The sequence below is a fragment of the Homo sapiens genome, chromosome 16 (genome assembly GCF_000001405.40).
Source record: "Homo sapiens chromosome 16, GRCh38.p14 Primary Assembly".
Classification (NCBI taxonomy): Eukaryota; Metazoa; Chordata; class Mammalia; order Primates; family Hominidae; genus Homo; species Homo sapiens.
In genome coordinates, this window is record NC_000016.10 from 75,506,048 (window position 1) to 75,521,194 (window position 15,147).

The following is a 15,147-nucleotide window of genomic DNA, read 5'->3' on the forward strand; positions in this document are numbered from 1 at the left end:
AATCAATGAAATGGAAAAGAAAGCTATGTCAAATCAGCAAAGCATTAAACCACATCTGTAAGATAAATTATGGGCATGAAAGTAAGGAAAAGAAACAGAGATCTGTGGTGGAAAAAAAGACAAATTATAGCTCATGAAGCATATGTAGGCAGTAAAAAAAAAATTGGTATCCACTCCCACCATCCAGTCTGACCTCATAGTGACCCTAAAATGATCAGCAGAAAAAGACGGTTACTGAAAAGTGATCACTGCTGACGTGGTCCCTCTGCACAACTCTGGATCTTTTTGCTACAAGTGATCCTTTCCCACCGTAGGTTCCCAGAAGGATTCTACTATGGTGTAGCAGCATTCCAATCTGGATCCCCCATCTACTGATTCATTTTGATTCCCACCATTAATATTATGTGAGGAAAATAATTTTTGTACTTTTTTGGGCTAATAAAGTCATTTGAGATGAAGAAATCTCAGTTTTCAGAAACTTTCAATTATTTATTTCCTTTAGACAATAATGTCCTTATTGTAGGTCTTGTTTTAGAGAAACCTCCCTCCCTTTTCTCTTGGATACTTCCTCTCTGCCCTGTTTCATCAGCTTCGGGGAGGGATATCTGCTACCCGGGCTGACGATCAAGTTACTGAGGCAATGATGGATTAGTCATTATGGGTAGGATGAAAAGAGCCTGCCTTGTCTTCCTGTGGATTTTCTTCAATTGGGATCTGGGTAGACAATGTTGTGTAACTCTCTGTGACGGATCCACGCCTTCCGGATCTTTAGGGTTGGACAGGAAGTAAAGATCACATTTCTCAACTTGCAACAGAGGACAGTGGCCAGGAGACAACTGCCAGACTCCAATACACTGTGGGGCGTGGGGAGAAACTCATTTCATTTGATCTTTACAATAAATGTTAAGCCCCAGGTAGGCAGAACAAGTATTTTCCCATTACATAGATGAGAAAATCATGGGTGAGGGAGGTTAGGGCATTTATCAGAGGTACAGCAAGTAATGGTGAAGACAGAATTTCAGATCAGGTCTTTGACTTCAAATGTGGTATCCTTTCCAGGACTAAAATATCCAGACTTACTTACTTATTTATTTATTTTTGAGCCGGAGTCTCACTCTGTTGCCCAGGCTGGAGTGCGGTGGCACGGTCTCAGCTCACTGCAACCTCCGCCTCCTGGGTTCAAGCAATTCTCCTGCCTCAGTCTCCTGAGTAGCTGGGATTACAGGCACCTGCCACTTCGCCCAGCTAATTTTTTTGTATATTTAGTAGAGATGGGGTTTCACCATGTTGGCCAGGCTGGTCTCGAACTCCTGACCTCGTGATCCGCCCGCCTTGGCCTCTCAAAGTGCTGGGATTACAGGTGTGAGCCACGACACCCGGCCAGATTTATTTAAAAATTCAAAAAGAAGACAGTGGGTTGGAGAAGTCTTTTTGCAAAACGGCAGCACCAGGCATCAAAGTCTGTATACTCGCCTGTGTGCATAATTCCGCTCCACGCTGAGAGAGGGCCCAGATGTGGCTCAGCACCATCAATAGTGTCTACTTGTTAAATTCACTCATTAATCTGCTATGAACTTTTTGAGGCCCTACAGGCACTATTTCAGATGATGAGAATATAATCTAAACAAAACAGACAAAGTCTCCATCCTAATGGAGCTTATGTTCCCGACCAAGAAGACAGAAAATAGATTCATAAATATGCAACAATATCAAATAGTGATGAGTGCCACAGAGAAAAACAAGGCAGGCTAAAATGAAAGAATAATGAAGGTAGAATTTAACAGAAAGTTTTACAGAAAATATTCAGGATGACCTGACTTGTTGGAGACCTGAAGGAAGCGAGGTGATGAGGTGATGTGGTGCAGCAATGTCTCAGGGAAGAAAGATCTAGATTCACCAAGTGCATGTGCTCTAGGTGCCCATGGGGCCAGCAGAGCTGGCAGAATGGGTGAGAGGGAGAGCAGGACGGAGACAGGGGACAGAGAAGTGAAGACACAAAGGGTGTGTCTCCCAAAAACAACCTGTCACTAAGCTAGACTCTCACCCCTATGGGCTAGCAAGGTTTGGCTCTGTTATCACTTGGACCTCTGAAGAAATCAATTAGCTAATTCCATTTAGTTGAAAGTAAGCCTAACGTATGTGCAACAGCTACAAAGGCAGGCATTCAAAGGCTACTAATTCCTCAACACAAACTCCAGGTCACTATCTAACCTCCCACTGGTGCCTGGCCAAGAGAATTCACAAAGGACACAACCACTTCACACCTATAAGGTATATGCAGGATTCGAAACAATTATTATATCTATTGATTGTCCCATGTGATCCCTCCATATATCCCAGGAGAGAGTTGGCTACTCTCATGCCCAGGATATGGATAGATAAATTGAGGCTGAACAAATGAACTACTGCCCTTCCTCCACCAATGAAAAAAGCTACCTTTAGTCAATAGTGTCAATCAGAAATTGAGGGCAGGATTCTTGGTCCTCAGGGTTTCAGCCCCCACCTCTTCCACAACAAACCCATATCCTCTTGCAGCTTCTTTTCCAGCTGCCATTAGGCCAGGAGCTATTCCTGCCTTTCGCTGCCCAGAGACGCACCCTCCCTGGCTGGCAGCAACTCCAGAGGGAGCAGTGCCTGTATCTGGATACTGCTCCTCCCTAACAAATGTGCACCTGCCAGAGCTCTGGTGCCCACACAAATCCCTCCTGCCTGGGCAGCTACTGTGGCCCCTGGCTCAGTCAAGAGCAGCCTGGCCTCCGAGCTGAGGCCCCCTGTCCACCACCCACCGCCAGCTCATCCCCAAGCCCCCACACAGCACCATGCTTCTCTTCCAAAGCAGAAAGACCATCTTCTATCCCAGGTCCTCACCTGCCACTCCCAAATCAATCTGACCCTCTGACCACCCGAACATCTAGTCTGCACAAAGTTCCATGATGGCATCAGGAATTCACTGGTCCAAGTGAACAAATGAGATGCAAACCTGCCTCCAAGAACTCAGATTAAGACCAGTATGGTGGCTCACACCTGTAATCCCAGCACTTTGGGAGGCTGAGGCAGGTGGATCACCTCAGGTCAGGAGTTTGAGACCAGCCTGGCCAATATGGTGAAGCCCCATCTCTACTATTAATAATAATAATAAAAATTAGCTAGGTGTGGTGGTGCATGGCTGTAATCCCAGTTACTCGGGAGGCTGAGGCAGGAGAATTACTGGAACCTGGGAGGCAGAGGTTGCAGTGAGCTGAGATTGTGCCACTGCACTGGAACGTGGGTGACAGACTGAGACTCTGTTCCCCACCAAAAAAAAGCCAACAACAAAAATTATCTGGGCACAGTGGCACACTCCTGTAATCCCAGCCACTTGGGAGGCTGAGGAAGGAGAATTGGTTGAATCCGGGAGGCGGAGGTTGCAGTAAGCCAAGATCACACCACCACTGCCCTCCAGCCTGGGCAACAGAGCCAGACTCCGTCTCAGAAAACAAAGAACTCAGATTAGTCACCACTGGCTGCTGTCTGCCCCCACCGATGTGAGACCACACCCCGGACTCCTGCTGTGGAAGGCTTCTGCTGAAGCTGTGATAAGCACTGCTTTTTGCAGTAATTCAAGGCACTGCCGGAGCCTAGCTTCTTACTGACTGTCCCATAACCATCAGGGCAGTGACCTAGGAGGCAGCGCCCTGATCTGCCAGAAACACATGAAGCTGGAAACTTCCAGAAAAATGGGTCTGGACACAGGTGTGCCAACCAACTACTAAGGGCTGAACTGTGTGCACCACAGATTCCCAAGTTAAATATGATAGGACTGTGGCCTTACAAGAGGAAGAGATTTCAATCTCCTGATCTCTCTCTCTCTGCTATGTGAGGACACAGAAGACACCCAACTCCCAGTCAGAACCCAACCATGCTGGCACCCTTATCTCAGACTTCCAGCCTCCAGAACTGAGGAAACAATTGTGTGTGTGTGTGTGTGTGTGTGTGTGTGTGTGTGTGTGTGTGTTTTAGAGACATGGTCCCTCTCCGTTGCCCAGGCTGGAATGCAGTGTTCAATCATAGCTCACTGCACCCTTGAACTCCTGGCCTCAAGCAATCCTCCCACCTTGGCCTCCCAAAGTGCTGGCATTACAGGTGTGAGCCACAAGGCCAGCCAATGTCTGTTTTTTTTTTCTTTTTTTTTGAGACAGAGTTTCGCTCTTGTTGCCCACGCTGTAGTGCAGTGGCGCCATCTCGGCTCACTGCAACCTCCGCCTCCCGGGTTCAAGCGATTCTCCTGTCTCAGCCTCCTGAGTAGCTGGGATTACAGGCATGTGCCACCACGGCCGGCTAATTTTTTGTATTTTTAGTAGAGACGGAGTTTCACCATGTTGGCCAGGCTGGTCTCAAACTCCTGACCTCAGGTGATCTGCCCGCCTCAGCCTCCTAAAGTGCTGGGATTACAGGCGTGAGCCACTGTGCCCAGTCCATGGCTGGTCTCCAGCTACTGGCCATGTGTGGGAACATGTACCTGAGGTCTTGGCTTCTCTGTAGTCCTAGCTACTGGGGAGGCTGAGGCAGGAGGATTGTGTGAGCCCAGAAGCTCAAGGTTACAGTGAGCTATGATCACATCATTGCATGACACGACACGAAATCACTATACAACAGAGCAAGACCCCATGTCTTTAAAAAATAAAAAACGAAAACAAAAACAAAAAGCGGCTGGGAGTGGTGGCTCATGCCTATAATCCTAGCACTTTGGGAGGCCGAGGTGGGAGGATCATGTGAGCTCAGGAGTTCAAGACCAGACTGGGCCACATAGGGAGAACCTGTCTCTACAAAAAATAAAAAATAAAAAACTAGCTGGGCACGGTGGCTCACACCTGTGGTCCCAGATACTCAGGAGGCTGAGGTGTGAGAATCACTTGCGCCCAGGAGGGGGAGGCTACAGTGAGCCATGATAGCACCACTGTACTCCAGGCTGGGCAACAGAGTAAGACCTTGTCTCAAATTAATAAAAAAATAAAAGAATATAAGGGGAAATGAGACTAAGCACTGTGGTAGAATGGGCCCCAAAAGGTGTTAAAATTCTCATCCCCAAAACCTGTGAATAGGTTACAAGGCAAAAGGTGCTGAAGAAATGGTTTGCTAGACTATTTAACAAAATGAAGAAAATAATTTTAAAAAACCTGTGATTAAATTAAGGATATTTAATCAGCTGTGATTAAAGATCTTGCAGTAGGGGGTTACTGCAAATTTTCAAGATGGGTCTAAAGTAATCACAAGTTTCTTTGTGAGGAGACAGGAGGTTGAGTCAGAAAGATTTGAAGATGTTACACTGCTGGATTTGGAGAAGAGGAGGGGACCATGGGCCTAGGAATGCAAGTGGCCTCTAGAAGCTGGTAAAGTCAAGGAAGCAAATTCTTCCTAGAGCCTCTAGAAGGAACATAGTCCCGTTGAACCTTGGTTTTAGCCCAGAGACATCCAATTTGGACTTTTGACCACCAGAAGTAAGAACTATAAGATGATAAAATCAATATAGTTTTAAGTAGCTCAATTTGGGGAATTGATTACAGTAACAATAGCAAACTTATACAAACATTAAGAATTTATTCATTCATCCATGAATATTTATTTATTTATTTATGAGTCTCACTCTGTCACCCAGGCTGGAGTGCAGTGGCACGATCTCAGCTCACTGCAACCTCCGCCTCCTGGGTGCAAGAGATTCTCGTGTCTCAGCCTCCTGAGTAGCTGGGATTACAGGCACAAGCCACTACGCCAAGCTAATTTTTTTTGCATTTTTAGTAGCAATGGGGTTTTGCCATGTTGGCCAGGCTGGTCTCGAACTCCTGACCTCAGGTGATCTGCCCACCTAACCCTCCCAAAGTGCTGGCATTACAGGCGTGAGCCACTGTGCCCAGTCCATCTGTGAATATTTACAGAGTTCGTTCTATATGCTGGCAACATTGGTGAAAAAAGTCTAAGATGCCTGCTCTCAAAGAGCTTATTTCTTTAAGGATGTATTTTCAGAGAGATATTGCAGTGAAAGAGAACAGATATAGAGAACATAAACACAAGCGGTCTGTAATGGCTGGCTCCCTAGCCTCTAACCTCCACAGCAGAGTCACCTAACTCCCAACCAAGGCCTCAAGACCACCCTGGCCCCAAATGGCAGCAATGCAAAGAAACTGAGCCAAGTGGGCAGCATGAGGCTCAGCACTCAGCCCTCCTTCCAGCTGGCCCCACTTTCATCTTGTGTTCCAGTGAATGACTGGGTCAACACAGCCAGTTCCTCTGAAGCTGGGGTTCTAGGCAGACCACATGGGTCCTCCTGGGGATTAAGAGTCTTATGTGGTCCTTCAACTCCGTGCTGAGCTGCCTTGATACTAATCATTGCCCATCAGCCTGCAACTCTACCCATTGTCCAATGGGAGACTCCTCTCTTGCCAAACCCCACCTCCCTGCCTGGAGGTCCAACTGTCCCCTCCACTCCTCTCTAACAAGAGGACATGCCCACTGAACTACCAACTGTAGTCAACCACCTCTCTCGGATACTGCCTGCCTGCTCCTCCCTGGTTCGTGGGTGTGCCCCTGGCCTGCCTTACCTCAGTGGTCTCTGGATCCTAGCCTGAGCAGACTTTGTCCTGATCAGGCTTTCCATCTATTCTCCACGCAAAGCCAGTAAGTCAATGCCACTGGGTAAGGGATTTCTTCTCGGGATGATGCAAATATTCTCAAATTGATTGTGGCAACAGTTATACAACTCTCTGAACACACTAAAAACCACTGGACTGTGTACTTTAAAAAAAGTCAGGATTGGCCGGGCATGGTGGCCCACATCTGTAATCCCAGCACTTTGGGAGGCCAAGGTGGGTGGATCATGAGGTCAGGAGTTCAAGACCAGCCTGGCCAAGATGGTGAAACCCTGTCTCTACTAATAATACAAAAATTACCCGGGTGTGGTGGTGGGTGCCTATAATCCCAGCTACTCGGGAGGCTGAGGCAGAGAATTGCTGGAACCCAGGAGGCGGAGGCTGCAGTGAGCTGAGATCCTGCCACTGCACTCCGGCCTGGGTGACAGAGTGAGACTCCATCTCAAAAAAAAAAAAAAAAAAGGCCAGGCGCAGTGGCTCACACCTGTAATCCCAGGACTTTGGGAGGCCGAGACTGGCGGATCATGAGGTCAGGAGATTGAGACCATCCTGGCTAACACCGTGAAACCCCATCTCTAATAAAAATACAAAAAATTAGGCGGGCGTGGTGGTGGGCGCCTGTAGTCCCAGCTACTCAGGAGGCTGAGGCAGGAGAATGGTGTGAACCCGGGAGGCAGAACTTGCAGTGAGCCGAGATCGCGCCACTGCACTCTAGCCTGGGCGACAGAGTAAGACTCCATCTCAAAAAAATAAATAAATAAATAAAAATAAAAGTCAGAATCATCTCATCTCTGCTCAAAACCCCCCAGTAGAGCCCTCCAGGACCTGCCCTCCCCTCCTCCTCTCCCCCTTGCCCACATAGTCCCTCCAGGCACCCTGGCCCCCTCAATGTTTCTTCTGTAAGCTCCTGTTTCAGGGCCTCTGAATCGGCTGCTCCCTGGACTGGAACACTTGCTCTTACCCCAAGAGCTGTTGGCTCATTCCTCACTTCCTTCGGATTTTGACTCCAATATCATCACCATCGAGGGTCTCCCCATCACCCAACGACAAATGGCACTCCACCCCAGCTACACAGGCCCTACCACTTTCTGCCCTCACCCTGACACTCACGACCAGCTGTTCCAGCCCACAGGTTGGTTGTTTTCTCCCTCCCTCCATTGGAATTAAAGCTCCATGTGGGAAAGGGCTTTGTTTTGTTCACCATGGCATCTTGACCTGGTACCTAGAGAAAAAAAAGGGGGGCACACAATTGACACTCAGTAAATGTTTGTTGAGTGAATAAATGAGTGGTCCAAATCTGACCCAGTCTTGATTCCAGCAATGACACAAGAAAAATATTATTGGGTTGTACTTTAATTATCACAAGACCCTCTAGGACTTTAGTTTAGTGAAATCTGTATTATCACACAATAAAATCAATCCTGATACCAGAAAAAGATCTGCCTTCCTTGACATTCAGATTCATTAAAAATGACAAAAGAAATCTAAACAACTGGAATAAGGAGGGTTGGGCAGATATTGCGGGTAAAAAAAATCAATCCAAAGCTTCCTGGTAGAAATGAATATTTCAGAGCAATGATTTTGCAATAACAAGTTGGCATAAACTGCAAATAACCTTTTCTGTGGGGCCAAAATATTAACTATGCTTCAGGAAAGCAGGCTTTGGTGCCTCAAACAAGATCAGACCTCATGTACCTAATACAGCCATCATTCCAGCTAAAGACGGGATGCGGGTTGATATGGTCTGGCTCTGTGTCCGCACACAAATCTCATATTGAATTCTATTCCCATAATTCCCATGTGTTGTGCAAGGGACCTGGTGGGAGATAATTGAATCATGGCGGCGGTTCCTCCCCCATACTGCTCTCGTGGTAGTACATCTCAAGAGGTCTGATGGTTTTATCAGGGGTTTCTGATTTTGCATTTTCCTCATTCTCTCTTCGCCTGCTGCCATCCACGGAAGACAGGACTTGCTCCTCCTTGCCTTCCGCGATGAAGATTGTGAGGCTTCCCCAGCCGCATGGAACTGTAAGTCCAATTAAACCTCTTTCTTTTGTAAGTTGCCCAGTCTTAGGGATGTCTTTACCAGCAGCATGAAAATGGACTAATACACAGGTTATGTATTTACCACCAAATTCTCATCTATTTGGGGTCAAGGGCCACGCCTCCTATCTGCTTATACCTCCAGGTCAGAGCCTGCACTTGGCCAAATGTATACACATTGAATGAATGATCCGTGGTATCCAACACCTTGAAGTTATATATCCATAAAAATAATCTTAAACTTAAGTACACAATGCAGTTTAAAATTTTCAGAACAATTTCTGAGATCAAAACAATTCTCATGCATACAGATCCTCTACTTTGGTACATTAAAACTATCATCCTAAATCCACTTATCTCAATCTTTTCTTAATGAAATAAAAGTGAACTAAAAGCCAGAAGAGTCAACAGAATATTCAGTTCCAAAGTATCACCCCATATAGGACTGTTAATTAAGAGAGGGTTCAGGTACCCTTACAATGGAGAGAGCTGACAGACACCATCTTCACGAAAGGATCAAACTTGTCAACAAAGGTATAAACTGACATCTCTTAAGGTGATCCACTGACAAGTGTACATCACCTATGAAGGTGGCATTCTGAACAAAAAATCTGAATCTAATAATGAAGAAAATCAGAGGAAGCTAGATTGTAAACATTCTATGAAACAATTGGCATAGGCCAGGCATGGTGGCTCAAGCCTGTAATCCCAACACTTTGAAAGGCCGAGGTGGCTGGGTCACTTGAGATCAGGAGTTCCAGACCAGCCTAGCCAACATGGTGAAACCCTGTCTCTACTAAAAAAAAAAAAAAAAAATAGCTGGGCATGGTGTGCATGCCTGTAATCCCAGCTACTCGGGAGGCTGAGGCAGGAGAATGGTGTGAACCCAGGAGGTGGAGCTTGCAGTGAGCCGAGATCGAGCTACTGCACTGCAGCCTGGGAGACAGAGCGAGACTCCGCCTCAAAAAAAAAAGGCTGGGCGGGCAGGCTCACACCTGTAATCCCAACACTTTGGGAAGCCGAGGCAGGCAGATCACCTGAGGTTGGGAGTTGACGACCAACGTGACCAACATGGAGAAACCCCGTCTCTACTAAAAATACAAAATTAGCCAGGCGTGGTGGTGCATGCCTGTAATCCCAGGTACTCGGGAGCCTGTGACAGGAGAATCGCTTGAATCTAGGAGGGGGAGGTTGCAGTGAGCCGAGATCGCGCCATTGTACTCCAGCCTGGGCAACAAGAGCTAAACTCCGTCTCAAAAATAAATAAATAAGGAAACAAAAACAGATTAATCTGGTCCCAGTAGTGTCTCCAGATTGCACGAACATTTCATTTTTCACACAGGGTCACCAGAATACCATCAATTTTTTGGTATCACTGTCAAAAGTGATCCTAGCACCTTCTGAAATAACGTGAGCTGCCAGATTCTCATTTCAGGAATGACCACAAGCGAACATCTGCATCTGACCCCAACCTGCCTGATGACCTTACCCGCTACTTCACAATCCCGTCCAGGAAAATCCCTGGGCACATAACACTGCAAGTCCCAGGTGTCCGCTGAAGGGCGCCTGGCAGTCACTGCCCAGGGGATGAGAAATCACAGGTGCCTTGTTTGGAACTAGAGTCTGGAATCTCGTCCTCCTTCCCTCTGCTCTGGTCCCTCATTGTTTATGAAGACCTCAGTCCCCTCTGCTGGGAGCCCCACCTCCCCTTTCAGGGCCACGGGCCCCAGTCTTCTTGCCTTTCAAGGACCACACAAATAACTGTGCCTCCCCTCAAAGCTTTTCTCCTCCTTCCCAGGTGAAGTCCTCTCTCCTCCCTCCAGCTTTCAGGGCACGGAGCGTTCTTTCTGGCATTGGAATTCTGAGCAACCCTCCTAGCAGGCCCAGCTCAAGCCGCAGCGGGGAGGAAGAGTTCAAAGGAAGCTATGCCAAAGATCTCGAAGGCTTAGTGGGAGACCCAGCAACAGGTGGCACCAGGTCTGGGAAAGAGACTCCTAGAAAGCGGAGCGGGTCTCGGAGGGGGTGGATTTGGCCCGAGGTGCCCGCGATCAGCGAACGAGCGCCCGCACGGAGGAGCCGGGCTGCAGCTCCCGGGCAAGGGGAGCGCGAGCTCTGACTCCTCAGCCGGGCCGGGCCGGGCCGCTCCGAGGCCCCTCGAAGGAGGCCGGGCGCCGTGGGGCAACCCAGGCAGGGCGCGGACCACCGCCTCCCGGGCTCGTGGGGTGCAGCTCTGAACCTGAGGCGCTCGGAAGCTCAAGGCCAAGACCCGCTCGGGTGGTGGCCGAGCGCCCTCCAGCCCCGGGTCCACCTGCGGCCGCTCCCTGCACCTCACGCCCAGCGGGGCTCCGGGGACCTGCCTCAGGGACCGGCGAGGAAGTGACGGGTAAAGGGGTCCGGGAGAGCAAAGGGACCCCCCTCCGGGAGGACAGCGCCCACCCAGCAGGTCAGCGGCACACCGGGGACGCCGCCCGGACTCGGGGCGCCCATAACCCGGCCCACCCGCCGCTGCTGTCGCTTCCCTAGAGCTCCATCCGGTCGCCATTCACCACTGAGTTAAGGGACCAGCTACCGAAGGGCAGCAGCGGCCAGCCACCAGCCCCCTCGCCGCCTCAGCGTCACTCCACCCGAGACCCTCTTCCTCCAATCCCAACGGCGCTGCCAAGTGACCGTTCCCTCCTCCAATGAGAAGGCGCTCCAGCCGGCGGGGGCAGAGCCAGAGTTGTTCCCGCCCCTGAGGTTGCGCAGGGCTAGCACAGACCCACCCCCTCGGACGCGCGCTATCCTGGAGAAGCGGCCCCTGCCCGCGAACTGCGCGCTCTGCTCTGCCCTTCTCTGCAGCGCCCCCTGTAGGAAAGAAGGGAATTGCATGCGGCCCCCCCGCCCCCGGCCAGAGCTGTGGATTTACCAGGGATCTGGCAAAGCAGTGATCAGAACAGATTTGTAACGTTGTAGTATCTAGGTCTGGACCCCAATATTTACGAAGTCTTCATGAGTAGAATACGAACATTCTCAGGCCGGGTGCGGTGGCTCACGCCTGTACTCCCAGCACTCTGGGGGGAGGCCGAGGCGGGCGGATCACTTGAGGTCAGGAGTTTGAGACCATCCTGGCCAACATGGTGACACCCCGTCTCTTCCAAAAATACAAAAATTAGCCGGGCGTGGTGGTGCGCGCCTGTATCCTAGCTAGTCGGGAGGCTGAGGCAGGAGAATCGCTTGAATCCGGGAGGAGGAGGTTGCAGTGAGCCGAGATCGGGCCCCTGCACTCCAGCCTGGGCGACAGAGTGAGACTCTGTCTCAAAAAACAAAAAAAAAAAAAAAAAAAGAGAGAAAACAAAAAACAAGCAAAAAAAAATTCTCTATTTAAACCGGATAGTAAAAAGCCTATTTTTTTTTTTGAGACGGAGTCTTGCTCTGTCGCCCAGGCTGGAGTGCAGTGGTGCGATCTCGGCTCACTGTAAGCTCCGCCTCCCGGGTTCACGCCGTTCTCCTGCCTCAGCCTCCCAAGTAGCTGGGACTACTGGCGCCTGCCACCAGGCCCGGTTAATTTTTTGTATTTTTTTTTTTTTTTTTTTTTTTAGTAGAGACGGGCTTTCACCATGTTAGCCAGGATGGTCTCGATCTCCTGACCTTGTGATCCGCCCGCCTCGGCCTCCCAAAGTGCTGGGATTACAGGCGTGAGCCACCGCGCCCGGCCTTGTAAAAAACCTATTAAAAGGCTGGTGTGGGACCGGAATGGGAGGGAGGTTGGCCTGTGGATATATAGTCTCTGTACAGTGCAAAGTAGTTGTTTTTTGTTGTTGTTTTGAGACAGGGTCTAGCTCTGTCGCCCAGGCTGGAGTGCAGTGGCACGATCTTGGCTCACTGCAGCCTCTGCCTCAAGCAATTCTCATTCCTCAGCGTCCTGAGTAGCTGGGATTACAGGCATGCACCACCATGACCAGCTAATTCTCTAATTCTCTCTCTCACTGTCTCTCTCTCTCATGTGTGTGTGTGTGTGTGTGTGTGTGTGTGTCTAAGAATGGGGTCTCGGCTGGGCGCAGTGGCTCATACCTGTAATCCCAGCACTTTGGGAGGCCGAAGCTGGTGTATCACTTGAGGTCAGGAGTTCGAGACTAGCCTGGCCTACGTGGTGAAATCTCCTCTCTACTAAAAATACAAAAATTAGCTGGGCGTAGTGGTGCGCGCCTGTAGTCCCAGCTACTCAGGAGGCTGAGGCAGGAGAATCGCTTGAACCTGGGAGGTGGAGGTTGCAGTTGGCCAAGGTGGCACCATTGCACTCCAGCCTGGGCAACAGAGCAAAACTCTGTCTGATAAAAGAAAAGAAAAGAAAAGAAATTAAAAAAAGAATGGGGTCTCACTGTGTTACCCCAAGCTGATCTCGAACTTGTGCCTGAAACAATCCTCCCTGCCTGAGCTTCTCAAAGTGCTGAGATTACAAGCATGAGCCACCTTGCCCAGCTGCTACCGAGTTTTAAATACAATAAAAATTTAAAGACCTTCTATTCAATACAACAAAACTGGATCACACTTTTGACTCACCTCCCTTCAGAGATCCCGTTAAAATGTAGGCAGAGAAATTGTGAAAAGGAATAAGCAAGGTCAGGTGTGGTGGCTCAAGCCTGCAATCGCAGCACTTTAGGAGGCCAGGGCAGGAGGATCACTGGAGCCCAGGAGTTCGAGACTAGCCTGGGCAATATAGCAAGATCCCATCTCTACAAAAAATAGAAAAATTAGCCAGACGTGGTGGCATATGCCTGCAATCCCAGTTACTCAGGATGCTAAGGTAGGATGATTGCTTGAGCCTGGGAGGCGGAGACTGCAGTGAGCAGAGATGGTGCTCCTTAACTCCAGCCTGGGCAAGAGAGGGAAACCCTGTCTCAAAAAAAATTTTTTTTTAAGTAAACTGGGTAATTTATAAAGAACAGAAATTTACTTTCTCATGGTTCTGGAGGCTGGGAGGTCCACGATATAGGCGCCTGTAGGTTGCGTATCTGGAAAGGGCCTGTGCCTCACTGCTGGCACTACCTATGGGTCCTCACATGGAGGAAGAAAGTGAACCCATTCTCTCAAGCCTCCCCCGACCTTTTTTTTTTCTTTGAGACAGAGTCTCACTCTCTGGCCCAGGCTAGAGTGTAGTGGCACGTTCTCGGCTCACTGCAACCTCTACCTCCCGGGTTCAAGCGATTCTCCCGCCTCAGCCTCCCGAGTAGCCAGGACTACAGGCACCTGCCACCACGCCCAGCTAATTTTTGTATTTTTAGTAGAGGGGGGTTTCACCATGTTGGCCAGGCCAGCTTTGAACTCCTGGCCTCAGGTGATCCACCCGCCTTGGGCTTCCGAAGTGCTGGGATTACAGGCATGAGCCAACATGCCCGGCCTATTAGTGTTCTCTCTTGAAGCCTCTGTTTAGGAAGCTTCCTTATGCAGGTTCCCTACCACTACAATTGACGTTTTGTATCAACCAAGAAACCTAAATAAAATAAAAATAGGAAGTATAAAAAAGGTCATGAAATACTGACCTTTAACCATGCTGTCTTTTTGGTACATTTCCTAGACTAGCAGAGTCTATTAGAAGTGGAAGAAACTGCTGGGCGTAGTGGCTCATGCCTGTAATCCCAGCACTTTGGGAGGCTGAGGCGGGTGGATCATTTGAGGTCAGGAGTTCGAGACCAGCCATGGCCAACATGGTGAAACCCTGTCTCTACTAAATATACAAAAAAATTAGCTGAGCCTGGTGGCATGCACCTGTAATCCCAGCTACTCGGGAGACTGAGGCAGGAGAATTACTTGAACCCGGGAGGTGGAGGTTGCAGTGACCTGAGATCGTGCCATTGCACTCCACTGCACTTCAGCCTGGGTGAAAAAGTGAGACACTGTCTCAAAAAAAAACAAAAAACAAAAAAAAGGCCAGGCATGGTGGCTCACTCCTGTAATCCCAGTACTTTGGGAGGCCAAGGCAGGTGGATCACTTGAGGTTAGGAGTTTGAGACCAGCCTGGTCTTGAAATACAAAAAAATTAGCCAGGTGGTGGCAGGCACCTGTAATCCCAGCCACTCAGGAGGCTGAGGCAGGAGAATCACTTGAGCCTGGGAGGCAGAGTTTGCAGTCAGCCGAAATCGCGCCACTGCACTCCAGTCTGGGCAATAGAGCCAGACTCAGTCTCAAAAAAAAAAAAAAAAAAAAAAAAAGCCAGGCACAATGGCTCACGCCTGTAATCCCAGAACTCTGGGAGGCTGAGGCAGGCGGATTGCCTGAAGTCAGGAGTTCGAGACCACCCTGGCCAACATGGTGAAACCCCATCTCTACTAAAAATATAAAAATTAGCCAGACATGGTGGCGAACGCCTGTATTTCCAGCTACTCAGCGGGGCTGAGGCAGGAGCATCCCTTGAACCCGGGAGGCAGACATCGCAGTGAGCCAAGATCGTGCCACTACACTCCAGCCTGGGTGACAGAGTGAAACTCTGTCTTAAAAAAAAAAA

At 49.3% G+C, this 15,147-nt stretch overlaps 1 annotated feature.

The window, feature by feature from the left end:
- Positions 10,737-11,176: a silencer, noted in NCBI's record as "silent region_7722". NCBI's record gives its function as "represses an Ori minimal core promoter by ATAC-STARR-seq in GM12878 lymphoblastoid cells {active_cell/tissue: GM12878}" and the evidence as "EXISTENCE:reporter gene assay evidence [ECO:0000049][PMID:35858748]".